Source organism: Homo sapiens, chromosome 3 (genome assembly GCF_000001405.40).
Source record: "Homo sapiens chromosome 3, GRCh38.p14 Primary Assembly".
Lineage (NCBI taxonomy): Eukaryota > Metazoa > Chordata > Mammalia > Primates > Hominidae > Homo > Homo sapiens.
Genome location: NC_000003.12, coordinates 9,633,602 through 9,660,239, shown reverse-complemented (window position 1 = coordinate 9,660,239; position 26,638 = coordinate 9,633,602). Strand labels below are relative to the sequence as shown.

The window sequence follows — 26,638 nt, the reverse complement described above, 5'->3', positions numbered from 1 at the left end:
GCAACCCACCAGGCAGCCCTAGGCACACAAGCTCACAGAGAACCAGAGTGTGCTGCCTTCCCCTCACCCAGTTTCTCTATGAAATCAAAAGGCACCTTGGTACCAATTAATTGCCTAACTAGACTCCACAAGAATATAAAACCGAGCACCTTTAGTACTGCCACAGTGGCCTTCCTCCCACTTACTTGGCCCGTGGCCGATGTCACATATCTGGTCAGCACCATCTGCTGCAACCGACTCTCACTTAGCTCATACCAGCCCTCTGAACCCTAAATGCCTACATCTGATTTTCCCAGGTTGAGTTGTAGCCTCAAAACCAAGGTGGATTTCTCAGGCTAAACTTCTGTTAAAAACAAACAAACAAAACACCCCTGGTGGAGGACACATCAGCATTTTCCTCTAGGGAGGATCTTTTAATGTAATGACCCACCTTTTCTTGTTAGGTCGGCCAGTGGTTCCTTTACCGGTTCCCCTACATCAAGCTCCAATTCAGTTTCTGGCCAGGCACAGTGGCTCATGCCTGTAATCCCACACTTGGGGAGGCTCAGGCGGCAGATCACCTGAGGTCAGGAGGTAAAGACCAGCCTGGCCAACATGGTGAAACCCCGTCTATACTAAAACTACAAAAATTAGACAGGCGTGGCAGCACGCGCCTCTAATCCCAGCTACTCGGGAGGCTGAGGCAGGAGAATTGCTTGAACCCAGGAGGCGGAGGTTGCGGTGAGCAGAGATCACGCCACTGCACTCCAGCCTGGGCAACAGAATGAGACTCCGTCTTAAAAAAAAAAAAAAAAAGAACCAATTCAGTTTCTGTTCTCTCACTTTTTCCTGTTTTTATTATCTCTTGTCCTTAGGATTCTTTTATTGCAGTGCTAAGCACTGAGCTGTGTCTGGCACATAATACTCACATTCGAAGGGATGAATGTAGGCTTCTGTATTTACATTTGTAATGTATGCACTGAAATTTCTGGCAAGATGTTACCAGGTAGTGAGATTTTGTTGTTTTTTTCCCAACAAGGTCTTCCTCTGTTGCCCAGGCTGCAGTGCAGTGGCGCCATGGTTCACTGCAGCTGACCTCCTGGGCTCAGGTGATCCTCCCACCTCAGACTCCCAGGTAGCTGGGACTACAGGCACATGCCACGATGCTTGGCTAATGCTTTGTATTTTTTGTAGTGACAAGGTGTCACCATGTTGCCCAGACTGTTTAATTCAGTCTGTTTTTTATTCAGTCTATTCAGTTTAATTCAGTCTCAAACTCCTGGGTTCAAGCGAAACGCCCATCTCGGCCTCCCAAGTAACTAGGATTATAGGCGTGAGCCACCATGCCCAGCCAAACTATTTTCAAATACAGAAGAAAATGCTGTTATCACATATTTCCAATAGGAAGCTTTCCCAGACAGGCACCACACTTACCAAACTGGGTGGCTTGTTCCTATAATGTACCCCACAACTTCCTGAGATAAATGTTACTGCTGCTACTATTTAATAGATAAGAGGCACAAAGTAGAGCTTACACCCACATTATCTCACTCAGTCCTCACTTACCCAATTTTACAGATGAGGTAGTTTAATGAGATGAAATCTCTAGCCCAAAGTCACAGAACAGGTAAACAGGGTAGCTGAGATTCTAAACCCTGTGGGTAGCCACTGGGCCCATGGTTTTAACCACTATCCGGCAGGGCCTCACCTGTACTTCCCCTAATTCCAGCTTTTATTAACAATTATTGCTTCTTTATTGGACTCTGTTTCCCACTAGACCTACTGGTAAGGACTTCATCTATCTGGCTTCCAACTTGATCCCTGAGGTCTACTACACAGCAGCAGCTGAACGAACACTGTTGACAAACATGTCTTAGCTATTCAGAGATCCCTGTCCAGGCTTCTATTCCCAGATGATGAACCAAATTGGAGAGGTTCCTTAACAGGACCAAAACATTGCTTAAATCCAATTCTACCCTGTTTAATTCAGTCTATTTTTTATTCAGTCTATTCAGTTTAATTCAGCATCATAGTAACAGCCAAGCCAGACAGTAAAAAAGCAAAAAATGCTATTTCTTCCCACCCAAACATACCCGAAGTCCCCCCTTTCAACAAGCAGGCATCACCCACTCAACATCACTTCAGTAACACTTTAAGGCCTTGCAAGGAGTGAAAAGTAAAAACAAACTCCAACAAGCTCCTCTAAGGTTAATCATGTTCCACAGTGGCCTTGGCCTAACTGTGAGGTTCTGCTAGACAAGGTGGGAGAGCCGTGGTGGTGAAAGATAAGGCAGACAGGTACAGAGTCAGGAAATACAGCTTTTAACCCCACTCTGCTTACTACCTCTGTGATCTTCGGCAAAGGCAAATTACTTCTCTGGGCTTCAACTTCATCTATAAAAGAGTGGTGAGGGCCAGGCGCGGTGGCTCATACCTGTAATCCCAGCACTTTGGGAGGCCGAGACCAGTGGATCACGAGGTCAGGAGTTCAAGACCAGCCTGGCCAAGATGTTGAAACCCCGTCTTTACTAAAAATACAAAAATTGGCCGGGCATGGTGGCACGCGCCTGTAATCCCAGCTACTAGGGAGGCTGAGGCAGGAGAATCACTTGAACCTGAGCGGCAGAGGTTGCAGTGAGCCAAGATCACTTGCGCCACTGCACTCCAGCCTCAGCGACACAGCAAGACTCCATATCAAATTGAAAAAAAAAAAGAGTGGTGATACTGTCTTCTTCACTGAATAGTTGTAGGGCTTAAGCTAGCAAGTAAAACCTCAACACCTGCCAAACAGAGGTACTCAACAAATACTAGTTTCAGTCTCTTTAAGGGATCAACACTAAACTTGTTTCCTTCCAGGAAAAGCTTTTACAAGGCAACCACCACTACGTTTCTCAATGTACTATTATGTTACTGAAGGGTAACATTTGGTATTACCTGAGAGCTTGTTAGAATATGCCAAATCGCAGGCCCACCTCAGGTCTTCTGAATCTCTGCATTGTAGAAAGATCCCCAGTTGATTCACTCATAAAATCAACATAGAAAAGAACCACTCTGTTGGGTGCGGTGGCTCTCACCTCTAATCCCAACACTTTGAAAGGCCGAGGTGAGGAAATCTGTTGAGCTCAGGAGACCCACCTGGGCAATGCAGCGAGACCTGGTCTCTACTAAAAATTAAAAAAAATCAGCTGGGAGTGGTGGTATGTGCCCATATTCCCAGCTACTTGGGAGGCTGAGGTGGGAGAATCACTTGAGCCCAGGGGATCAAGGCCGCAGCAAGCCATGATTGTGCCACTGCATTCCAGACCCCGTCTTAATTAAAAACAAAAACAAAAACAAAAAAACCCACCTTGATTACAGCTGAGCTTAATATCAGAATGTCATCATCAGGGCACAGAGGTAAAACCACCAGCCAGCCAGCACCAAAGAGGGTAGGAAGAAGGGGAACGAAGAGAATGGCAAGGCAAAAACAAAGAAAACAAAACAAAACAAAACCCTCTTGTTCAGAAACTTTAGCTTAAAGATTTACGGAAACTAAGTTTACCCAGCTGGGCGCGGTGGCTCACACCTGTAATCCAGCACTTTGGGAGGCCATGGCAGGCGGATTGTTTGAGCCCAGGAGTTGAGACTAGCCTGGCCATCATGGCAAAACCCATCTCTACTAAAATTCAAGAACTAGCCAGGTGTGGTGCCACACACCTGTAATTCCAGCTACTTGGGAGGCTGATGCACAAGGATCGCTAGAGCCTGGGAGGCAGAGGTTACAGTGAGCCAAGATGGCACCACTGCACTCCAGCCTGGGCAACAGAGCAAGATTCTGTCTTAAAAAAAAAAAGAAACTAAGCTTACCTAATTCTGGAAGGAGGAATTAAGGAAGAGCTAAGAACCATAAATAACAGGGCCATAACAAACCCCAATTCTTTAGGCTTGGCGATCCCAAGTTCTTAGGTTATATAACTGAGGATGTAATACTGTTTCTGTGATCTATTTACAAGAGCCCTTAACACTCTTTTCTTGGAGAACCCCACTACAACCTTGTGAAATGGGCACTCTTTTTTTTTTATTTTTTTGAGATGGAGTCTCACCCTGTCGCCAGGCTGGAATGCAGTGGTTCGATCTTGGCTCAGTGCAGTCTCCGCCTCCTGGGTTCAAGTGATTCTCCTGCCTCAGCCTCCCGAGTAGCTGGGATTACAGGCGTGCGCCACCACACCCAGCTAATTTTTGTATATTTAGTAGATACGGGGTTTCACCATGTTGGCCAGGATGGTCTCAATCTCCTGACCTCATGATCTTGGACTCTCAAAGTGCTGGGATTACAGGTGTGAGCCAGCACGCCCGGCCAAGATGGGCACTCTTATAGACATCCCCACTTTACAGATGAGGAAACTAAGGCTTAGTGCTTAAACTCCTCCTACTGGATTGTTCCTCTGCTGTAAACCTTCTCTGGCTCCCCATGGCCTGCAGCAGCGGTTCTCAAGCTATAGTGTATTTAAGACATCAAGAGGCCGGGTGTGCTGGCTCACACCTATAATCCCAGCACTTAGGGAGGCCGAGGCGGCTGGATCATGAGGTCAGGGGTTCGAGACCAGCCTGACCAACGTGGTGAAACCCTGTCTCTACTAAAAATACAAAAAAAGTAGCTGGGCGTGGTGGCGGGCGCCTGTAATCCCAGCTACTCAGGAGGCTGAGGCAGGAGAATTGCTTGAACCCGGGAGGCAGAGGTTGCAGTGAGCCAAGATCGTGCCACTGCACTCCAGCCTGGGTGACAGAGCACTCTGTCTCAAAAAAAAAAAAAAAAAAAAGACATCAAGGGAGCTCTCACAGAATGTAGACTGGAAATTCTGATTCCAGAAGGCCCAGGAGAGGTTCTAGAATCTGTCATCTTTTTTTTGAGATAGAGTCTTGCTCTTGCTCTGTTGCCCAGGCTGGAGTGCAGTGGTGCAATCTCGGCTCACTGCAACCTCCACCTCCTGGGTTCAAGCGATTCTCCTGCCTCAGCCACCCGAGTAGCTGGGATTACAGGAGCCCACCACCACGCCCAGCTAGTTTTTGTAATTTTAGTAGGGATGGGGTTTCACCATGTTGGCCAGGCTGGTCTCAAACTCCTGACCTCAGGTGATCCACCCAAAGGAGGCTGGGATTACAGGCATGAGCCACTAGGCCAGGCCGAGAATCCATAATCTTAGTAAGTGCTTAGGGGTTCCTAGCACAATAAAACCACTGATACCCACACACAACCCACAGGTTCACACTCCCTGGCCTGATGATCAAGATCCTATATGAGTTGATCCCTAAGGACATTTTCAGGGAAACTCCTGCTCATCCTTCCAATTCCAGTTCTTCCCAGGCACATAAACACAAGGCAGAATTAACCATTTCCCCAGTTGGCCTACGGCAGCACTTCTCAAACCTGGTAGTGCATTCGAATCACCTGGACACCCTGTTCTGCTGTGATTCTGGCTCAGTGGCTCTGGAGCATGAGCTTCTGCGTTTCTAACAAGTTATTGAATGCACTGCTAGCCCTGCTTTGAGTAGCAAGGGGCTACTGCACTATGCAGCATGACTGCTGCGGTACTCCTCACAACATTTCACCCACGGGGCCAGGATTTCACAGATAGTGCTGACAACGGCTCCTGAAATTCCCTTAAAATCAGCAGGAAGTAGGGAGATTAGGAGAGCAAACTTTGAGATCAACATATACCACTTCCTAGAGCCTCATGCTGTGATTACTTATCAGTATCAAATAACTATACCATTTACTGACTACCTACAGGCCACAACCTGCACCAAGCATTCTGTGTCTGCTCTGGTATAAACTGTTAACCCACATAAGGTACTCAGGTCTTGGTAGGCCCACCATAAATGGTAGCTTTTATTTCTAATTCTTACAACGTACATGTCAGGCTTTTATCAGCCCCATTTATCATCTGGACTGCACTACCACTTTCTAAAATTTTAGTTAGTCCTTAAAAGGACTAATTAACATGAGGTAGAGAATTACCAATAAGAAAACTAAGGACAAAGCAGTTAAGTAACTTGCCCAGCATCAGTTACACAGCCAGCAACAGGGGAATCCAGGATGTGAACTCTAGACAGTCTGACTCTAGCAGTCTGACTCTAGACCTTAGGCTCTCAAGTGCTACATACGGTAAACGCTGGTAAGCCTGTCTTTACACAGTGTACCTCCCACTCACACTCTCTAAAAAAGGGACACTGATATTCAGAGAAGTGAAGTGTGAAGTCAGCTATCTTAGGACAATGAGCTCTAGGGTGGAAGTGAAACAGCAATCAAGGGCTGTTACTCCCAACCCCTCATTCTATGCCATGCCACCTTGCCAGTCTGACTTGTCCAACCTTGAAGTAAATAAAAATGCCAATAAGGATTAACACCTGGGGAAAGTGATTCTGCCCTGCCCAGCTACAGACTTCCTGGCCACAGGGATTAGCTGCCACGGACTCCCCAGACATGTACACTACGGTCACATGATGCTCACGTGTCTTTCTCCTTCTCAGAACTCTCATACTCCAGGAACACGATGTGCCGGGGATAGTGGCCACAGATATCCCCATTCGTGTTTGGAATCACGCTGAAACAGTAGTCTCGGCCAAACAGCTCCAGACATCTCTTCTCAATGCGCTCAACCTGCACAGAGAAGGAGACCAGAACACAAAGAGAATTCTGGGGTTCTGAGGGTGAGAATTAGGAGGTCCATGGCCTAAGAGGTCACTGGGAAAGACATGTACCTGGGTGATAATTATTCTGTGCTGGGAAGATGTGATGCTAGGCCACAGGTCCTACGTGTAGTCCATTAACCCATATATTGTATACTTCAGGAAGGATTCTTAAACCCCTAACAATGAATCTGAAATTGTGGGTATTGAGCATTTGGGGGAGACGATTACAGCTTTCATTAGATTCAAAGAGGTCTACAACCCATAAAACATAAGAACTCTTGGTCCAGGTTACTGAAACTGCCACTAATCCACTACCTTCATTGGTCAGCTTCCCCATTCTCTTATTTATTTTTTGAGACGGAGTCTCGCTCTGTCGCCCAGGCTGCAGTGCAGTGGGGCAATCTCAGCTCACTGCAGCCTCCGCGTCCGGGGTTCAAGCGATTCTCCTGTCTCACCCCGAGTAGCTGGGATTACAGGTGCGTAGAACCACGCCTGACTAATTTTTCTATTTTTAGTAGAGACAGGGGTTTCACCATGTTGGCCAGGCTAGTTTCAAACTCCTGACCTCAGGTGACCCGCCCACCTCGGCCTCCCCAAGTGCTGGGATTACAGGCGTGAGCCACGGCACCCGGCCTTTATTTTTTTAAAAGACACAGTCTCACTCTGTCATCCAAGCTGGAGTGCAGTGGCACGATCTCAGCTCACTGCAACCTCAGCCTCCTGGGTTCAAGTGAGCATATTTGGCTAATTTTCATATTTTTAGTAGAGATGGGGTTTCACCATGCTGGCCAGGCTGGTCTTGAACTCCTGATCTCAAGTGATCCGCCCGCCTCAGCCTCCCAGGTGTGAGCCACCATGCCTGGCCTCTTCCCCATTCCTTTTTTTTTTTTTTGAGAAAGAGTCTTGCTCTGTCACCCAGGCTAGAGTGCAATGGTGTGATCTCTGCTCACTGCAACCTCTGCCTCCTGGGTGAGCCACCACGCCCAGCCAACAAAAAATTTTTAATAGAGATGGGGTTCATGTTTCCAGGCTGCTCTCGAACTCCTGGGCTGAAGCAGTCTACCTGCCTTGGCCTCCCAAAGTGCTAGGATTACACGCGTGAGCCAGTGTACTGGCCCTCTTCCCCATTCTTTAGCCATAGACTAGTACCTACAAGCTCTATTCCATGCAACCAGTAAAAGCTGCAAAGTCTCTTTATACACAACTTGCTGGTGAAATAGAAGAAACAGCTCCCCCTAAAATTACTTATTTTGATCACAGTTCAGAGAAAAACACAACAGAAAAAAGGCATAAGAACTGTAACATCAAGAAGTTTGCAAGAGGGCCAGGCATGGTGGCTCACGCCTATAATCCCAGCACTTTGGGAGGCACCGAGGAGGGCAGATCACTTCTGATCAGGAGCTTGAGACCAGCCTGGCCAACAGGTGAAACCCTTTCTCTACTAAAAATACAAAAATTAGGCTGGGTGCAGTGGCTCATGCCTGTAATCCCAGCAGTTTGGGAGGCCAAGGCGGGCAGATCACGAGTTCAAGAGATTGAGATAATCCTGGCCAACATGGTGAAACCCCATCTCTATTAAAAATATAAAAATTAGCTGGGCATGGTGGCGGGCGCCTGTACTCCCACCTACTGGGGAGGCTGAAGCAGGAGAATCGCTTGAACCCAGGAGGCGGAGGTTGCAGTGAGCCGAGATCACGCCATTGCATTCCAGCCTGGGCGACAGAGTGAGACGCCATCTCAAAAAAAAAAAAAAAAATTAGCCAGGCATGATGGTGCATGCCTGTAGTCCCAGCTACTAGGGAGGCTGAAGCAGGAGGATCGCTTGAATCCAGGAGGTGGAAGTTGCAGCGAGCCAAGATCGCACCACTGCACTCCAGCCTGGGTGACAGAGGGAGACTCCTTCTGAAAAAAAAAGTTTGCAAGAAGTTAGTCCAAAGGTAGTGAGTTATCTCAATCGATTGTTCAGTTACAGATCTAACTCCCTGTTCTGCCTGAATTGTTATAAATACATATAAATATATATACATCTAAGTTTGCAGGAGATCAGAAGGCCTGGAGAGATAATTAAGGCCAGCCGCAGCCAATATGAGGTGTAACTTATGCTAACCCTAATCTTCAGGGTCATGTAAGTTGGAAGAGGGGTCCAGAAAAACCAATGACCTACAGCCACTCAAAAGACCCTTACTGGCCAGGTGTGGCGGCTCACGCCTGTAATCCCAGCATTTTGGGGGGCTGAGGTGGGAGGATTGCTTGAGCTTAGGAGTTTGAGACCAGCCAGGGCAATATAGCGAGACCATGTCTCTAGGAAAATAAAGAAAAATTAGCCAGGCATGGTGGTGTGTACCTGTGGTCCCAGGTGCTTGGCAGGCTTAAGTGGGAGGATCGCTCAAACCCAGGATTTCGAGGCTGCAGTAAGTCATGGTTGCACCACTGCAATCCAGCCTGGGCAGCAGAGCGAGACCCTGTCTCAACACAAAAAACAAAAACAAACAAACAAAAAAGCCAGGCGCGGTGGCTCACGCCTGTATCCCAGCACTTTGGGAGGCTGAGGTAGGCGGATCACCTGAGCTCAGGAGTTCAAGACCAGCCTGGCCAACCTGGGGAAACTCCATCTCTACTAAAAACTACAATAATTAGCTGGGCGTGGTGGTGGGGTCCTGTAATCCCAGCTACTTGGGAAGTTGAGGCAGGGAGAATTGCTTGAACTGGGGAGGCGGAGGATGCAGTAAGCTGAGATTGCGCCACTGCACTCCAGCCTAGGCGACAAAGCGAGACTCCTTCTCAAAAGAAAAAAAAAAAAAAAGCAAATTCCAGGATCCCACCCCCAGAAATTCTGACTTGGTAGGACTGGGTGGGACTAAGGAATCTCTGTTTTCACAAAGTATCCCATAAGCACAAATTTTAAAAGTACCCCAGATGATCATTAAACAGGTGGTCCCCAGACTATACTTGGAAAAATTACTTGGCCATTTGGAGAGTGAGGAAGTCCAATCCTTACTGAAGTCTTCCCTGGGTTACTTCAGAGACTACAAGATGCCAACTACAGAATAGCAACTCACGGTAATCTCTGAGGTCAAATCAGAGTTCTGTGGTGCAGGATGGAACAGAATTCCACTGGAAAACTTGGTGCTAAAGCTGCCAAAACCACGTGGGGGAATGAGATGGCAGGGTCGGCAAGATTCCCACCGCACTGCCAGCCAGTGCTTAGGGTGGGGATGGCCTGAGCTGACAGGAAGCCCTCCAGGTCTGGCGATAAGACGACTGGGTGGAAATCCCAAAGGGAGCAAAAAGAGGAACGGAGACCTGCTTTAGATAAAGGAACTGAAAGGGAGTGTGGGTTGTCTTCCTGCTCTATAGGGGAAGGAAAGGGATGGGCCTAAGTCATGCTGAGACCTTATAAGGGGGCAGCACACTGGGTTCACCTCCTGGCTCCATTCTGACCTCTGACCCCGAGGAATCGTCTCCCTATTTTTCTTAGCTTTTTCTTGGGGCTTTTTCCCTGACACAACTCATCCTACGGCACCTGAAGCAGGGAATAGACCTTCCTTAGGTCCTCCTCTCTGATCTTTGAACCTGGCCCCTCAGCTTGATCTCTCACCTCCAGACCCCTTCTCAAACAAGAAGGACCTCTTTGCTGGGCTCATTCTGACCCCAGTTCCTCCTTTTATGGTTGTCAAGACCGACTCTTATACTCCGGATACAGACCCTGGAGAACTCCTCTCTCTCTCTCCTCTTCCTCAGCGGCGAGGTACCACTCCTACCTTTTTCTGACCCCTGGCCTCAGCCTTTCCTCTGTAACTTCCCAAGTTAGGAGCCTTCCCCAGCTCATCGCACCTCCAATCTCACCTTAGAGCCGCCGGTCCCGCTGCCATCCTTGGCCCGGTACTGAGTCCGGGAGAACTCCTCCAGCAGCTCCCCAAGCCCCAGCTCCTGAGGCGGCTGGTTGCCTGAAGAGGCCGAGGACCCCGCCGAGGCAGCGGCGGCGGCGGCCCGAGCGCCGGCCATGGCCCAGCCCCGCGTCCCCTCAGTGTGCCTCAAGCGGGCCCATGGCACCTGCCTGCACCCAACTCCGACACTAGAACCTCCGGAACCGCCTCAGCCACCGCCTTCTACTTCCACTTCCACTTCCGGCCCCGCCCCGTCCCGCCGGATGTTTACTCCGACTCTGGCCAATCGGAGCTCTGGACCCGCGCCCCGCCTACGATTACTGGCCCGCCCCCGGCGCAGAGCGATCCTTCTATCCACCAGGGAGGCCACTGGCTGATACCGCGTGATCCGCCCCAAGGGGTTTCCCCCGGGGAAGCCGGGCTCAACCATTGGGCTGCCGGGGGAGGGGGGTAGCAGGAAGGAACCATTGAAAAGAACCAGAGGAAAAGTGGAATCAACAATTACAGGGAAGCCGAGCGTGGTGGCTCACACCTGTCATCCCAGCACTTTGGGGGGCCGAGGCGGGCGGATCACTTGAGGCCAAGAGTTCGAGACCAGGCTGCCAAAATGGTGAAACCGCATCTCTACTAAAAATAAAAAAATTAGCCGGGCATGGTGACACCCACCTGTAATCCCAACTACTTGGGAGGCTGAGGCAGGAGAATCGCTTGAACCCATGAGGCTGAGGTTGCAATGAGCCGAAATCGAACCACTACACTCCAGCCTGGGTGACAGAGCAATACTCTGTCTTAAGAAAAAAAAAAAATTACAGGGCGAGGAGGAGAGAACGCTTGGAGGCAACAAATTAGTACTAGAAACCATAATGGCAGTGGTTACCAATATTAAAACATTTCAGCCGGCCGCGGTGTCTCACGCCTGTAATCCCAGCACTTTGGTAGGCCGAGGCAGGCGGATTATGAAGTGAGGCATTCGAGACCAGCCTGATCAACGCAGTGAAACCCCGTCTCTACTAAAAATACAAAAATTAGCCGCGCGTGGTGGCAGGTGCCTGTAATCCCAGCTACTCGGGAGGCTGAGGCAGGAGAATTGCTTGAACCCGGGAGGCGGAGAGTGAGCCGAGATCGCGCCACTGCACTCCAGCCTGGGTGACAGAATGAGACTCCGTCTCTAAAACAAAAACAAAAACACAACATTTCATAAAACCCTTTCTCCCCCTGCTGCTCACAACATCCCTGTGAGTACAGTGCATTATATCATCAGCCCTATTTTATTGAGGTAGAAACTGGGAGTCAGGGAGGTGAAGCGACTGCCTTGAAATTCTGTGATGAGAAGCCTCTCATTATTATTATTATTAGAATATTTCAGACATTCGCAAAAGTGGAGACAATAGTATAATGAACCCTCATGTACCCATTAACTGGTTTTGAACAATAATCAACATCTGCTTATCTATCCTGTTTAAGCAGTCCCTTCCCATCCAGGGAATTATTTTAAAGCAAATCCCAGACATCACATTATTTCAGCTGTGAATACTTAAGCATTTATCACAACAGATTTGTACTTCAAAAAAAAAATACATAAAAAATATAAGGCTATTAACATGCCTAAGAAAATTAACAATATTCCTTAATGTGGTCTAATACCCAGTCTGAATGAAAGTAATTCGTTTTTGTTAAACTTTTAATAGAAGTATGATATGTACACCAGCGCCCCGGAACCCTCCTCCTGACCACTTTCAGTCACTACCCACTCACCAACAACCACCCACCACCCTGCCCCCCCAACTCCTCCCACCCCCAGTTAATCACTATCCTGGCTTCTAGAGTTTTAATACGGTAGATTGGTTTTTAATTTAATTTAATTTTTTTTTTTTTTTTTTTTTTAGAAACGGTTTCACTCTTGTTGCCTAAGCTGGAGTACAGTGGCATGATCGTGGCTCACTGCAGCCTCCAACTACTGGCCTCAAGCAATCCTCCTGCCTCAGCCTCCCAAGTAGCTGTGACTACAGGCATGTGCCACCACACCCAGCTACTTTTTAAATTTTTTTGTAGATACCGAGTCTCACCATGTTGTCCAGGCGAGTCTCAAACTCCTGGGCTCAAGCAATCCTCCCACGTCTGCCACCCAAAGTGCTGGGATTACAGGTTTGAGCCACTACTCCTGGCCTACTAGATATTTTCTGACAAATCTATATACGCATTTGTCTTAAACACCAAGGAATGAAATGACTGGATTATATGGTGTTAAAGAAAAATTACAGGCCGGGCATGGTGGCTCATGCCTGTAATCCCAGCACTTTGGAAGGCCAAGGTAAACTGATTACCTGAGCCCAGGAGTTCGAGACGAGCCTGGGCAACACGGTGAGACCCCCATCTCTACAAGAAAATCAACCAGGTGTGGTGGCGCACATTGAGAGGCTACTTGGGAGGCTGAGGTGGGAGAGGATCCCTTGAGCCAGGGAGGTTGAGGCTGCAATGAGCTGTGATCATGAAACTGTACTCCAGTCTGGGTGACAGAGCGAGACTCTTGAGACTCTGCCTTAAAAAAAAAAAAAAAAAAGAAAAAAATTATAGGCCATTATTTTGGACAAAGCACCCGCACTAGATCCTAACAAACAAGACTAAGAACCAAAATGGAGTAATTCCTACTAAACTTACATCTTACCAAGCTGAAACTAAATTATCTGACCTTCAGAGAAATCCAGAGAGATAATAGATATTCCCCAAACAGGCCACTTTCAATAAGCATGATAATGAACTTTCCTCTGCCCTTAATCCTTACAACAAAAGTAACCTGATGTTAATCAATCCATTATTTTTCTTCTTCTTCTTCTTCTTTTTTTTTGAGACGAGTTCCCGCTGTTCTGTCACCCAGGCTGGAGTGCAGTGGTGCAGTGGTGCCATCTCGGCTCACTGTAACCTCTACCTCCCGGGTTCGAGCAATTCTCCTGTCTCAGTTTCCAGAGTAGCTGGGATTACAGGTGTGCGCCAACACACCCGGCTAATTTTTTTGTATTTTTAGCAGAGACGGGGTTTCGCCATGTTGACCAGACTGGTCTCAAACTCCTGACCTCAGATGATCCACCCACCTCAGCCTCCCAAAGTGGTAGGATTACAGGCATGAGCCACGGCGTCTGGCCCAATCCGTTATTTTTCTATTGTTCTGTTTCCTTGTTCCTGCCCTACAGGGAAAGTTACTTTGAAATGACCAATCCGGCCGGGCGTGGTGGCTCACGCTTGTAATCCCAGCACTTTGGAAGGCCGAGGCGGGCGGATCACGAGGTCAGGAGATCAAGACCATCCTGGCTAACATGGTGAAACACCATCTCTACTAAAAAAAAAAAAATACAAAAAAACAGCTGGGTGTGGTGGCGGGCGCCTGTAGTCCCAGCTACTCGGAAGGCGGAGGCAGGAGAATGGCGTGAACCCCGGAGGTGGAGCTTGCAGTGAGCTAGGATGGCGCCACTGCACTCCAGCGTGGGTGACAAAGCAAGACTCCGTCTCAAAAAAAAAAAAAAAAAAGAAATGACCAATCCACTTTGTGTTGTTTGTGCTTTCTTCAGCCCTTATCTGTTTATAAACGCAATGGCTCACACCCGTAATCCCAGCACTTAGGGAGGCGGATGCGGGCGGATCACCTGAGGTCGGGAGTTCAAGACCAGCCTGACCGATGTGGAGAAACCCCATCTCTACTAAAAATACAAAATTAGGCCGGGCGCAGTGGCTCACGCCTGTAATCCCAGCACTTTGGGAGGCCAAGATGGTTGGATCACCTGAGGTCAGGAGTTCTAGACCAGCCTGCCCAACATGGTGAAACCCCGTCTCTACTAAAAATATAAATATTAGCTGGGCGTGGTGGCAGGCACCTGTAATCCCAGCTACCTGTGGGACCGAGGCAGGAAAATCCCTTGAACCTGGGAGGCAGAGGTTGCAGTGAGCTGAGATCACGCCATTGCACTCCAGCCTGGGGGACAAGAGCGAGACTTTGTCTCAAAAAAAAATTAGCCGGGCATGGTGGCGAATGCCTGTAATCCCAGCTACTCGGGAGGCTGAGGCAGGAGAATCACTTGAACCCAGGAGGCAGAGGTTGCAGTGAGCAGAGATCATGCCACTGCACTCCGGTCTGGGTGACAGAAGGAGACTCCAACTCAAAAAAAATAATAAAATAAAATAAAAATAAAGCCAATTAAGATGTTTAAGTTGCAATTCTGTCTTTTGACAATGGTCAAAGTGTAACTTTCTAAGAGTTTTCCCGTGACATTTACATTGCCTCCTGCAAGTCAGCAGAGTTCCAGTTGCTCTGCATCCTTGTCAATACTTTTTTTTATTTTAGTTTTTCTGGTGAGAATGTACTGGTATTTCTTTTGTTTTTTTCCTCATACTAGTTTATACTTTGGAAGAATGTAGTGGTATCTTATTGTGCTTTCGTTGTTGTTGTTGTTGTTGTTGTTGTTGTTGTTGAGACAGGGGCTTGCTCTCTCCCCCAGGCTGGAGTGCAGTGGTTTGATCACGGCTCACTGCAGCCTTCACCCCTGGGCCCAAGCAATTCTCCCACCTGAGCTTCCTGAGTAGCTGGAACCACAGACATGTGCCACCGCACCCAACTAATTTTTTAATTATCTGTAGAGACAAGGTCTTGCTATGTTGCCCAGTCTGATCTTGAACTCCTGGGCTCAAGTGAACCTCCCACCTCAGCCTCCCAAAGTGCTAGGGTTACAAGTATGAGCCACTGCTCTACTTGTGCTTTTAGACTATGTGCCCAGCTCTATTGTGCTTTTAAAAAATCAATTTTATTGAGGTATGAGTACATAGAATAAAATTAATCCTCTTTAATTGTACATTTTGATGGGCATTGCCAAATTATAAAATCACCAGTGTAATTAAGATGTTGAACATATATATCACCTCCAGAAAGTTCCCTTGAGTCCCATCTCAGTCCTTTCCACCCCTACCCCCAGCCCCAGGCAACAACTGATTTATTTTCTGTCACTAGCCTTCCTATAAATGGAATTATACCCTGTGTATTCTGTGTCTAGCTTCTTTAAGCGTAGCTAATTTTGGTTTTAATTTGCATTTCCCTGATTAATGAAGTTGATCACCTTTTCGCATATTTATTGCTCATTTGAATATGCTCTTGGGTAGTGCTTGTTAACATCTTTTGCCCATTTTTCTAGTGGGTTGTCTGTATTTTTATTACAAATTTATAGAAGAGGTTTGAATATTCTGGACATGAGTTCTTTTGAAATCGCCGTTACAAAATTGTAACAGACAGTGAAAGAGATTTGACCTAACCAACTCCATCTTGCTTCTTTTTTTTTTTTTTTAATTTTTTTATTATTACACTCTAAGATCTAGGGTACATGTGCACAACATGCAGGTTTGTTACATAGGTATACAAGTGCCATGTTGTTTTGCTGCACCCATCAACTCGTCATTTACATTAGGTATTTCTCCTAATGCTATCCCTTTCCCAGCCACCCACCCCACAACAGGCCCCAGTGTGTGATGTTCCCCTTCCTGTGTCCATGTGTTCTCATTGTTCAGCTCCCACTTATGAGTGAGAACATGCAGTGTTGGTTTTCTGTCCTTGTGATATTTTGCTGAAAATGATGGTTTCCAGCTTCATCCATGTCCCTGCAAAGAACATTAACTCATCCTTTTTAATGGCTGCATAGAATTTAATGGTGTATATGTGCCACATTTTCTTTATCCAGTCTATTATTGATGGACATTTGGGTTGGTTCCAAGTCTTTGCTATTGTGAATAGTGCCTTAATAAACATACATGTGCATGTGTCTTCATAGTAGCATGATTTATAATCCTTTGGGTATATACCCAGTAATGTGATTGCTGGGTCAAATGGTATTTCTAGTTCTAGATCCTTGAGGGATCGCCACACTGTCTTCTACAGTGGTTGAACTAATTTACACTCCCACCAACAGTGTAAAAGCATTCCTATTTCTCCACATTCTCTCCAGCATCCGTTGTTTCCTGACTTTTTAATGACCGCCATTCTAACTGACGTGAGATGGTATCTCATGGTGGTTTCAATTTGCATTTCTCTGATGGCCAGTGATGATGAGCATTTTTTCATGTCTGTTGGCTGCATAAATGTTTTCTTTTGAGAAGTGTCTGTTCATCTCCTTTGCCCACTTTTTGATGGGGTTGTTTGTTTTTTTCTTGTAAATTTGTTTAAGTTCTTTGTAGATTCTGGATATTAGCCCTTTGTCAGATGGATAGATTGCACAACTTTTCTCCCATTCTCTAGGTTGCCTGTTCACTCTGATGATAGTTTATTTTGCTGTGGAGAAGCTCTTTAGTTTAATTAGATCCCATTTGTCTATGTTGGCTTTTGCTGCCATTGCTTTTGGTGTTTTAGTCATGAAGTCCTTGCCCCCCATCTTGCTTTTAACCTCTAAGCTGGCCTTATTCACTCCTGGGCATAGGCTGAACTAACTTTGGGAGGAACTTAGTTTATAGTTTATAGTTTAAAACAAAGATGATAACAGCCCTTTCCTGAAACAAACCCCCTTCTTGCCTGGGGACTAGACTGCCATTGTAGGACTTAATAAATTAGCCCTAAGATTAGAAGTTATGGTTTAGGAGTGATGCAGCTGGAGGCTACAAGACTCTGACCTTCCCCAAATTGCTCCTGGGGATATCACTATTGTAAACCTAAGACCAGTGTTTGAGATACTTTGCAGACCCTGCACTTGATGGATCAGCTGGTACCACCCAGATCGATAAACTAGCTTATCTGACCTTGTGGCCCCCACCCAGGAAATTACTCAGCACAAGAAGACTCCCTATGAGTTCATCTCTGACCTGACCAATCAGCGCTCCTGGCTCACTGGTTTTCCCCACCTACCAAGTTGTCCTTAAACACTCTGATCCCAGAATGCTTAGGGAGCTGATTTGAGTAATAATAAAACTATGTTCTCCCGCACAGCAGCCTCTGTGTGAATTATTCTTTCCGCAGTTCCCTTTTTTTTTTCTTGAGGCGGAGTTTCACTCTTTTTTTTTTTTTTTTTTTTTGAGACGGAGTCTCGCTCTGCCGCCCAGGCTGGAGTGCAGTGGCGCGATCCCCGCTCACTGCAAGCTCCGCCTCCCGGGTTCACGCCATTCTCCTGCCTCAGCCTCCCGAGTAGTTGGGACTACAGGTGCCTGCCACCACACCTGGCTAATTTTTTTTTGTATTTTTAGTAGAGACGGGGTTTCACCATGTTAGCCAGGATGGTCTCGATCTCCTGACCTCGTGATCCGCCCACCTCGGCCTCCCAAAGTGCTGGGATCACAGGTGTGAGCCAGTGCGCCCAGCCTACGGAGTTTCACTGTTGTTGCCCAGGCTGGTGTGCAATGGCGCGATCTTGGCTCACCACAACCTCCGCCTCCTGGGTTCAAGCTATTCTCCCGCCTCAGCCTCCCGAGTAGCTGGGATTACAGGCATTTGCCACCACGCCCGGCTAATTTTGTATTTTTAGTAGAGACAGGGTTTCTCCATGTTGGTTAGGCTGGTCTCGAACTTCCGACCTCAGGTGATTTGCCTGCCTCAGCCTCCCAAAGTGCTGGGATTACAGGCATGAACCACTGCACCCGGATCCCCTATCTTGATAAATCAGTTCCATCTAGGCAGCAGGCAAGGTGAACCCATTGGACAGTTACAAATTTGGGGACTTGTCTGAGATTGCCCTTGTGACTACCTGCCTGTGGTTCAGTAGCCCCCTCTCCAGCGATGGATCCAGAGGCCACCCAAAGGGGCCACCTAGTTCTCTTGGACTAGGGGTTGACTCTGGTACTCTCTCCACTTGTGGGGCACTGACAACCCAATATGCATGGAATTTTTTTTTTTTTTTTGAGACAGAGTCTTGTACTGTGGCCCAGGCTAGAGTGCAGTGGCGTGATCTTGGCTTATTGCAAGCTCCGCCTTGACTCCAGGTTCACGCCATTCTCCTGCCTCAGCCTCCTGAGTACCCGGGACTACAGGCGCCCGCCACCACGCCCAGCTAATTTTTTTTGTATTTTTTAGTAGAGACGGGGTTTCACCGTGTTAGCCAGGATGGCCTCGATCTCCTGACCTCGTGATCCGCCCATCTCGGCCTCCCAAAGTGCTGGGATTACAGGCGTGAGCCACCATGCCCGGCCTACATGGATTTAATTGCAATGGAGAAACAGTCCTGGGGAGACGTTCCATAACTGTAGCCCTATCACAAGGTGTCTGTCTGTAGCCTCATCATGGTGTGTCTGTAGTCCCATTGCAGGGTGTCTTGTTTGTCTAATAGCTCCACCACAGACAGTCTGTCTCAGTTTGGCTCCCTCAGGGGTCTCAGTTTGTCTGTTGCCCCATTGTGGGGTGTCTGTCTTGGTTTGGCTCCTAGTGGGGGTTTCAGTTGGCTCTTCCTAACTAGTAGGAAGAGACTTGGTTCGGGAGACTTCTCAATCAGGAAGACTTTGGGGAGATTTCTCAGATGGAGAATAGGAGAATAGTTTGGAAGGGATACTCTTGGAGTTCTTGGTTAGGGATCTGATTTGGAAGGCCTTCTGCCTGTCTCGTCTTTATGTGTGTGTTTGTATGTGTGGAGGGCATCTCAGAAGGAGTGGCTGACGGAAGTCCAGCAGGCCTAACTCAGAGAACCCTCCTATTAGTCTGTTAACATTCATTGAGCCCTGGAGAAAGCTCAACAGGCCTGTCTCAGTGTGACTATCCACTCTTCACCTTGCCCAGAGATCACCCATTGTGAATTACCTTTCGGAGCTCATCCCTCCCCACCAGGAGTGGATCAAAAACAATAGGGACCAACAGGAGAAAGTTTGAATTTTGCCAGGATGATATTGGGTGCTGAAAGAGGTGACTAGTGTCTGTTGTATTATGTATATTTTGCTGGGATGGAAAATATTAATTTGGTTTCCCGTGCAGCCTGTTGGACATCTTGCAAAATGGCGAATCTTTTGCCTATGGTTCAATAAAGCAGAAAAGGATGATTTTCTTTTGTAACAGGGCTTGGCCCCCCCACCAGCTATGGCATAGTGAAGAGGGTCATCAAAAGCCGCTTCGTTCTTCTGGAAGCTGCAGCAGAGAAAGGGGACCCGGAAAGTTGGTATGCCAGCAAAAACGGTAATAATTCTTAGCAGCCAAGTTTCTGGTCTCTCTCTCTCTCTCTCTCTCTCTCTCTCTCTCTCTATGTGTGTAAACGATAAACTTCGTTATTTGTCTCCTCTGCAAGGGTTTAACTAATAGAAAAATAAAGGATTTGTGAGACTAGTCAGGCTGTAGCAAATCTGGTGCAGTTTGTACTAAGAATGTGTCTTTCTGTAATGGAGAGAGGGGTATCACAGGATAGAATGTGAGCTTAGGATCCCTATAAGCCTACTTTTCAAGCCACCCCAGCAGGCTCGTCAGTTACAAACTTTGCTGGGGGTCCCTGAAACCAATACCAGATGAAATTTCTCTTTCTTGTTTTATGTCATTAAGAGCTTAACCTTAGGCTGGGCGTGGTGGCTCACGCCTGTAACCCTAGCACTTTGGGAGGCCCAGGCAGGTGGATCACCTGAGGTCAGGAGTTTGAGACCAGCCTGGCCAACATGGTGAAACCCTGTCTCTACTAAAACTACAAAAATTACCCAGGGATGGTGGCAGGCGCCTGTAATCCCAGCTACTCGGGAGGCTGAGGCACCAGAATCGCTTGAACCCAGGAGGTGGAGGTCGCAGTGAGCTGACATCGTGCCACTGCACTCCAGCCTGGGCAACAGAGTAAGACTCTGTCTCCAAAAAAAAAAAAAAAAAAAGAGCTTAACCTTGTGACCATGTGGGGATACTTTCATCTCCAAAAAAAAAAAGTGCTTAACCTTGTGACCCTGTGGTTCTCTTGGTTTCCACCATCCAGAGCACAGGAAAATTTGGGGTTCACGTCATAGCTCTAAAAATTATCTTGAGCAGGCTGGGCACAGTGGCCCATGCCTGTAATCCCAGCACTCTGGGAGGCCGGGGCAGTCGGATTACCTGAGCTCAGGAGTTCGAGACCAGCCTGGCCAACATAGTGAAACCCTGCTAGACATGGTGGTGGGCACTTGTAATCCCAGCTACTCGGGAGGCTGAGGCAGAAGAATCCCTTGAACCGAGAGGCGGAGGTTGCAGTAAGCAGAGACCGAACCACTGCACTCCAGCCTGGGCGGCAGAGATTCTGTCTCAAAAAAAAAAAAAAAAAATTAACTTGAGCAGCTAAAGCTCTTTCCAAGCTTGAAATTGGCTGCTGTAGACTTCTTCTGGGAAGAATAATAGAAACTGCTCGATGTTATGTAGGTCAGTAGCTAAGGCTTTGTCTTTTGACAATGATGGCCTGGGTTCAATTCTTGGCTTCCAGAATGATTCCTTTCTGGTTTGTTATTTGTGTAACTTTGCCATTTATTGAGGATTTTTTTTTTAAAACTCCATGGATAGCTTCTGATTTTCTGTTTTGGATTTTCCTTTCTCCAAACTACCCTTGAGAGAGAGAGAGAGAAAGAAAGGAAAGAGATAGAGAGAGAAAGAAAGGAGAGAGACAGAGAAAGAAAGGAAAGAGAGAGAGAGAAAGAGAGAAAGAAAGGAAAGAAAGGAAGGGAGGGAGGAAGGAAGGAAGAAAGAAAGAAAGAGAAAGAAAGAAAGAGGCTTACCATCTCTTTGAGACACCTTATGCATCCATGGTTAAGTTATAATCTTAGTTAAAACTTATTAATTTCATGTGGGAAGTTACCTGTGGTAGAATTCAAAAGCCAGAAATATTGGGTACCCTGGTAATAAGATATTGAAAAGGATTTTTTTTTTTTTAGAAAAAATAGCTCTGTGGTTAAAACCAGCTTAATTAAAAATGGATAACCAAGCCATATGTATTTAAAAGGAATTTATCTTTTTCCTCTTCTTGAATCATGTTTTTCTGAAAAACAGTTTTTTTCTTCTCAGGAGACTGAATTGTTCTCCATTTTGTCTTTTTGTCACTCTTGATGCCCACATGAGAGAACTTAAGATAAATTCTAACAGCCTGGGTCTCCTGGGGAAAAGCAGAGGAGGCACCACAGATCCCATTCTGGGAAAAACCTCAGATTTCCTCACAGAACCCCAGACATTAAAAGAGAATAGATCCTTCTCAAAATCTAAGGCTCTGTTCTGTTTTGCATTGCATTAGCTCATGGTTTTGGCTTTTGTGGGTATCAGAAATTACTTTGCATTATGAAAGAAACTTGGTGTGTAATAACTAGGTAGGAAATATACTTCTGAGGATGGCTAATGGCACTTACGGGGGATGTTCCGTTCTGATGTTTCAATTAGGGAAGCACACTCTTGGCCACTAAAAGATAGGGAAACATCCCCAACCTGCACTGAGAGATGAGACTCCCACAAGGGATGGGCTGATTACAAAATGGGCTAATTTACTATGGGTTGTTTTGCAATGAAATGCTCAGCAGAAGCACTGCACTGTCTTCTCTTATAGTATTTCCCTCCTTTTGGGGATCCAGGATCCAGTATATACCCTGAATTTTTGGGATCTGTGTTTGCCTTCCAGCTGTGCCTGCTTATTAGGTCCTAGAAACTGAATGCTTTCCTGGCCCTGTTCCTCCAAGGGCTCCACCCCGAAGTCAGTAATCCAGTTAAGAAACTGGCAAAGGAAAAATCTTACAAGTGCTGAATTTTCTGTCCATCTGTGTATTTATTTATTTATTTTTATATTTTTTGAGATGGAGTCTCGTTCTGTCACCCAGGCTGGAGTGCAATGGCATGACCTTGGCTCACTGCAACCTCCACCTCCCGGGTTCCAGTGATTCTCCTGCCTCAGCCTCCCGAGTAGCTGGGATTACAGGTGCCCGCCACCATGCCCAGCTAATATTTGTATTTTTAGTAGAGATGGGGTTTTACCATATTAGCCAGGTTGGTCTCGAACTCCTGACATCAGGTGATCCACCAGCCTCAGCCTCCCAAAGTGCTGTGATTACAGGCATGAGCCACCGTGCCCGGCCAGAAAAATAGAAACTTTAATGCCTTTTTGTTCACGTTACTTTAGCAGTCTTTTAGAAATAAAGACAGTTTTCAAGATTATTTGTAAAATAAAAATGTCTTCAAATTTCAGACATTTGGCCTAGATTAAGGCCAGATATGAGATTTGCTAAATGCTTTAAGGTCATAAACTATTTCTTTGACTTTTGAAAATTGCTCAATTGCTGGGCATGGTGGCTCACACCTGTAATCCCACCACTTTGGGAGGCCGAGGCGGGCGAAACACCTAAGTCTAGGCGTTCAAGTCCAGCCTGGCCAACATGGCACAACTCCGTCTCTACTAAAAATACAAAAATTGACCGGGTGCGGTGGCTCATGCCTGTAATCCCAGCACTTTGGGAGACTGAGATGGGCGGATCACGAGGTCAGGAGATCGAGACCATCCTGGCTAACACAGTGAAACCCCGTCTCTACTGAAAATACAAAAATTAGCAGGGCGTGGTGGCAGGCACCTGTAGTCCCAGCTACTTGGGAGGCTGAGGCAGGAGAATGGCATGCAGCCGGGAGGCAGAGCTTGCAGTGAGCCGAGATTGCACCACTGCACTCCAGCCTGGGCGACAGAGCGAGACTCCGTCTCAAAAAAATAAGTAAATAAATAAATAAATAAAAATTAAAAAATACAAAAATTATCCAGGCATTGTGGTGCATGTCTGTAATCCCAGCTACTCGGGAGGCTGAGGCAGGAGAATTGCCTGAACCCAGGAGGTGGAGGTTGCAGTGAGCCGAGATCGCGCCACTGCACTCCAGCCTGAGCGAAAGAGCGAGACTCTATCTCAAAGAAAAAAATAACAACAAAAAAAAGAACATTGCTGCGAAAATTGTTTAATTTACCTACTTTGGAGCATTAGATTCTAGATAAGGCCTGGGGACATGTGGAGAGCCATGCCCCTAGCTATGCTGCAAAGGGCCAGCCAGACCTTATCTGTACTTCTGTCTGATGTCCTAGGCTCTACGCCTAGGACATAATTAAAATTGCTTATTTATCAGGTTTTTCACCAAAATAAAAGTTGCTAAGAGTTAACATTGTAATATGTAATCGAGACTACTGGAGAAACAGTTTTACATACAAGGCATGTAGGGAAAGTAGAATGTGTTTCTGGTAAAAGAGTATGAGAAGGCATGGGAATATGGCTTTTGTTAAAGGGAATGTAATTTTGTCTACTTCAGAGGGTTTTAAATATTGTCTTAACCTAAAAGAGTAATGGGACAAAAAGAAGGTTCTGTGGGTGTAAACAAGTTGGCTAAGATTTGAAGGGGATTTTTTTTTTTTTTTTTTGCCCTAGATTGAAGATAAAATAAAAGCACACTAATGCGGGGCCAGAATCTGGGCCCATGTGTTCAAATAACAGGGTTTTCTTAGAAAATTGATCTGCTGTTTAACAGAAAATTGTGAACAGTTCTAAAAAGTTCATGAAAATCTTACCTTATTGTCAAACTAATTAAAACTGGATAGATTTATAAAATTTTATTTAAAAACTAGCCTTGCCAGGCGTGGTGGCTTAAACCTGTGATCCCAGCACTTTGGGAGGCCGAGGCAGGTGGATCACGAGGTCAGGAGATCGAGACCATCCTGGCTAACACGGTGAAACCCCGTTTCTACTAAATATACAAAAAATTAGCCGGGCGTGGTGGTGGGCACCTGTAGTCCCAGCTACTCGGGAGGCTGAGGCAGCAGAATGGTGTGAACCCGGGAGGCGGAGCTTGCAGTGAGCTGAGATCGCGCCACTGCACTCCAGCCTGGGAGACACAGCGAGACTGTCTCAAAAAACAAAAACAAAAACAAAAACAAAAAAAACTAGCCTTGGCATTGAAGATGCAGTAATGCAAACATAAATTTGGTTTTCTCTTTTGAAAAAGATTTTTATGTAATATTAAAAGATAATGGGCCAGGCCCCATGACTCAAGCCTGTAATTCCGGCACTTTGGGAGGACAAGGCAGGTGGATCACCTGAGGTCAGGAGTTCGAGGCCAGCCTGGCCAACATGGTGAAACCCCAACTCTACTAAAAATACAAAAATTAGCCGGGCGTGGTGGCGGGCGCCTGTAGTCCCAGCTACTCAGGAGGCTGAGGTAGGAGAATCGTTTGAACCTGGGAGATGGAGGTTGTGGTGAGTCAAGATTGCGTCATTGTACTCCAGCCTGGGCAACGGAGTGAGACTGAGTCTCAAAAAAAAAAAAAAAGATCATGAAATGTTTTTTGTTCACCCCTTTGGGTAAATGGCAGGGAAAAAAGGGGGTAGAGAAAAGAGACAGATTCAGTTGGCCTCATGCTATCTTCATTGGGTCTTGTTTGGAAAGCTAAGTCTCTTTTTTTTTTTTGAGGAGGAGTCTCACCCTGCACCCAGGCTGGAGTGCCATGCATGGTCTGGGCTCACTGCAACCTCTGCCTTCCAGGTTCAAGTGATTCCTCCACACCTGGCTAATTTTTGTATTTTTAGTAAAGACGTGGTTTCACCATGTTGGCCGGGCTGGACTAAGTCTCTTCTATCAGACTAAAGTTTTTGCCTTAAATTTTTTTTTTTTTTTTTTTTTTTTTTTTTTTTTGCGATAGAGTCTTGCTCTGTCGCCCAGGCTGGAGTGCAGTGGCGTGATCTCGGCTCACTGCAACCTCTGCCTCCCGGCTTCACGCCATTCTTGTGCCTCAGCCTCCTGAGTAGCTGGGACTACAGGCACCCGGCACCACACCCGGCTAATTTTTTGTATTTTTAGTAGAGACGGGGTTTCACCATGTTAGCCAGGATAGTCTCGATCTCCTGACCTCGTGATCTGCCCGTCTTGGCCTCCCAAAGTGCTGGGACTACAGGCATGAGCCACTGCGCCCCGCAAAAAAATTTTTTTGACTTACCACTTTGGATAAATAAATAATGTGTGATTCTACTTTGTGATATCCAGTGTTTCAAACTTTCCATATTTGAAAAACTTTCCAAAATCAAATATATAGTATGTCATTTTCTGACCTATTTAATCCTTCAGACATTAGGTCCCCTGAAGTCCAAAAAATTACGTTTGGCTTATTTAGCGTAAAAATCATACAGGCAGCATTGTCAAATATGATATGGTATATGGCTTTCTTTGGGTTTTATTTGTATAAATATGTTATCAGTATGTGTTCCAAAATTATGAGAAACTTCTATAATTCTGATATGATTTAGAGTATGTTATTAATAATTATAATTGTTAATGTAAAATTGTTGTATGCCACAGAAGTAACGAAAACTCCGAGTGAATTGTAGCTTTCAGTAATCCCAGCACTTTGGGAGGCTGAGGCAGGCGGATCACCTGAGGTCAGCAGTTCGAGACCAGCATGGGCAACATGGTGAAACCCCGTCTCTATTAAAAATACAAAAATAAGCCGGGCGTGGTGGCAGGCGCCTGCAGTCCCAGCTACTCAGGAGGCTGAGGCAGGAGAATCGCTTGAACCTGGGGGGCGGAGGTTGCAGTGAGCCGAGATCGCGCCACTGCACTCCAGCTTGGGTGACGAGAGCAAGACTTTGTCTCAAAAAAATAAAAAAAAGACTTGTCATCCACAGACATTTTGTCTTGCTTTGATCCTTTTCAAAAGGCAGTTTATAATCAGATATAGGATTCCGAGTGCAGGTCTATGATAACTTTAAAAATTGTGCTATTGGGCGGTGAAATCCCATCTCTACTAAAAATACAAAAAAATTAGCCAGGCGTGGTGGCGGGTGCCTGTAGTCCCAGCTACTTGAGAGGCTGAGGCAGGAGAATGGCGTGAAGCCGGGAGGCGGAGCTTGCAGTGCTATTGGGCCGGGTATGGTGGCTCAACGCCTGTAATCCCAGCACCCTGGGAAGCCGAGGTGGGCGGATCACCAGGTCAGGAGATCCAGACCATCCCAACATGGTGAAACATTGTCTCTACTAAAAATACAAAAAAATAGCTAGGTGTTGGTGGCACTCGCCTGTAGTTCCAGCTACTCAGGAGGCTGAGGCGGGAGAATCGCTTGAACCCGGGAAGCGAAGGTTGCAGTGAGCAGAGATCACGCTACTGCACTCCAGCCTGGGCTACAGGGCGAGACTCCATCTCAAAAAAAAAAAAAAAAAAAAGAAAAGAAAAAGA

The 26,638-nt window shown here is 46.6% G+C and overlaps 1 protein-coding gene across 51 annotated transcripts in view, besides 7 other annotated features; it reads right to left on the bottom strand.

Annotated features, from left to right (window-relative positions):
- Positions 1-10,735, bottom strand: part of MTMR14 (myotubularin related protein 14) — a 52,889-nt gene extending 42,154 nt beyond the window's left edge. For 36 of the 51 annotated variants that reach the window (NR_174504.1, NR_174503.1, NR_174507.1 and 33 more), the window contains exons 1-2: positions 10,498-10,735; positions 6,471-6,619 (exon numbers count right to left, since the gene is read on the bottom strand). Coding sequence is in view for 22 of the 51 variants with exons in the window: in NM_001077525.3 (NP_001070993.1) it covers positions 6,471-6,619; positions 10,498-10,656 (308 nt within the window). In the remaining 29 variants the exon portion in view is untranslated. Of the gene's footprint in view, positions 1-430; positions 542-6,470; positions 6,620-9,710; positions 9,913-10,497 lie in introns of those variants that run through there. The other 15 variants (NR_174510.1, NM_001400525.1, NM_001400529.1 and 12 more) reach the window with 4 other exon arrangements.
- Positions 10,208-11,103: an enhancer, noted in NCBI's record as "H3K27ac-H3K4me1 hESC enhancer chr3:9690821-9691716 (GRCh37/hg19 assembly coordinates)". NCBI's record gives its function as "activates a minimal SCP1, AML or CMV promoter by ChIP-STARR-seq in primed H9 embryonic stem cells {active_cell/tissue: H9 hESC(primed)}" and the evidence as "EXISTENCE:reporter gene assay evidence [ECO:0000049][PMID:30033119]".
- Positions 10,208-11,140: a biological region, named in NCBI's record as "H3K27ac-H3K4me1 hESC enhancer GRCh37_chr3:9690821-9691716".
- Positions 10,571-10,670: a silencer, noted in NCBI's record as "silent region_14036". NCBI's record gives its function as "represses an Ori minimal core promoter by ATAC-STARR-seq in GM12878 lymphoblastoid cells {active_cell/tissue: GM12878}" and the evidence as "EXISTENCE:reporter gene assay evidence [ECO:0000049][PMID:35858748]".
- Positions 10,752-10,921: an enhancer, noted in NCBI's record as "experimental_71463 CRE fragment used in MPRA reporter constructs". NCBI's record gives its function as "activates a minimal promoter by MPRAs in K562 erythroleukemia cells, with activity observed for both the introgressed and non-introgressed 3:9691088 variant alleles {active_cell/tissue: K562}" and the evidence as "EXISTENCE:reporter gene assay evidence [ECO:0000049][PMID:34662402]".
- Positions 10,771-10,880: a silencer, noted in NCBI's record as "silent region_14035". NCBI's record gives its function as "represses an Ori minimal core promoter by ATAC-STARR-seq in GM12878 lymphoblastoid cells {active_cell/tissue: GM12878}" and the evidence as "EXISTENCE:reporter gene assay evidence [ECO:0000049][PMID:35858748]".
- Positions 10,911-11,140: an enhancer, noted in NCBI's record as "active region_19404". NCBI's record gives its function as "activates an Ori minimal core promoter by ATAC-STARR-seq in GM12878 lymphoblastoid cells {active_cell/tissue: GM12878}" and the evidence as "EXISTENCE:reporter gene assay evidence [ECO:0000049][PMID:35858748]".
- Positions 17,493-17,652: a silencer, noted in NCBI's record as "silent region_14034". NCBI's record gives its function as "represses an Ori minimal core promoter by ATAC-STARR-seq in GM12878 lymphoblastoid cells {active_cell/tissue: GM12878}" and the evidence as "EXISTENCE:reporter gene assay evidence [ECO:0000049][PMID:35858748]".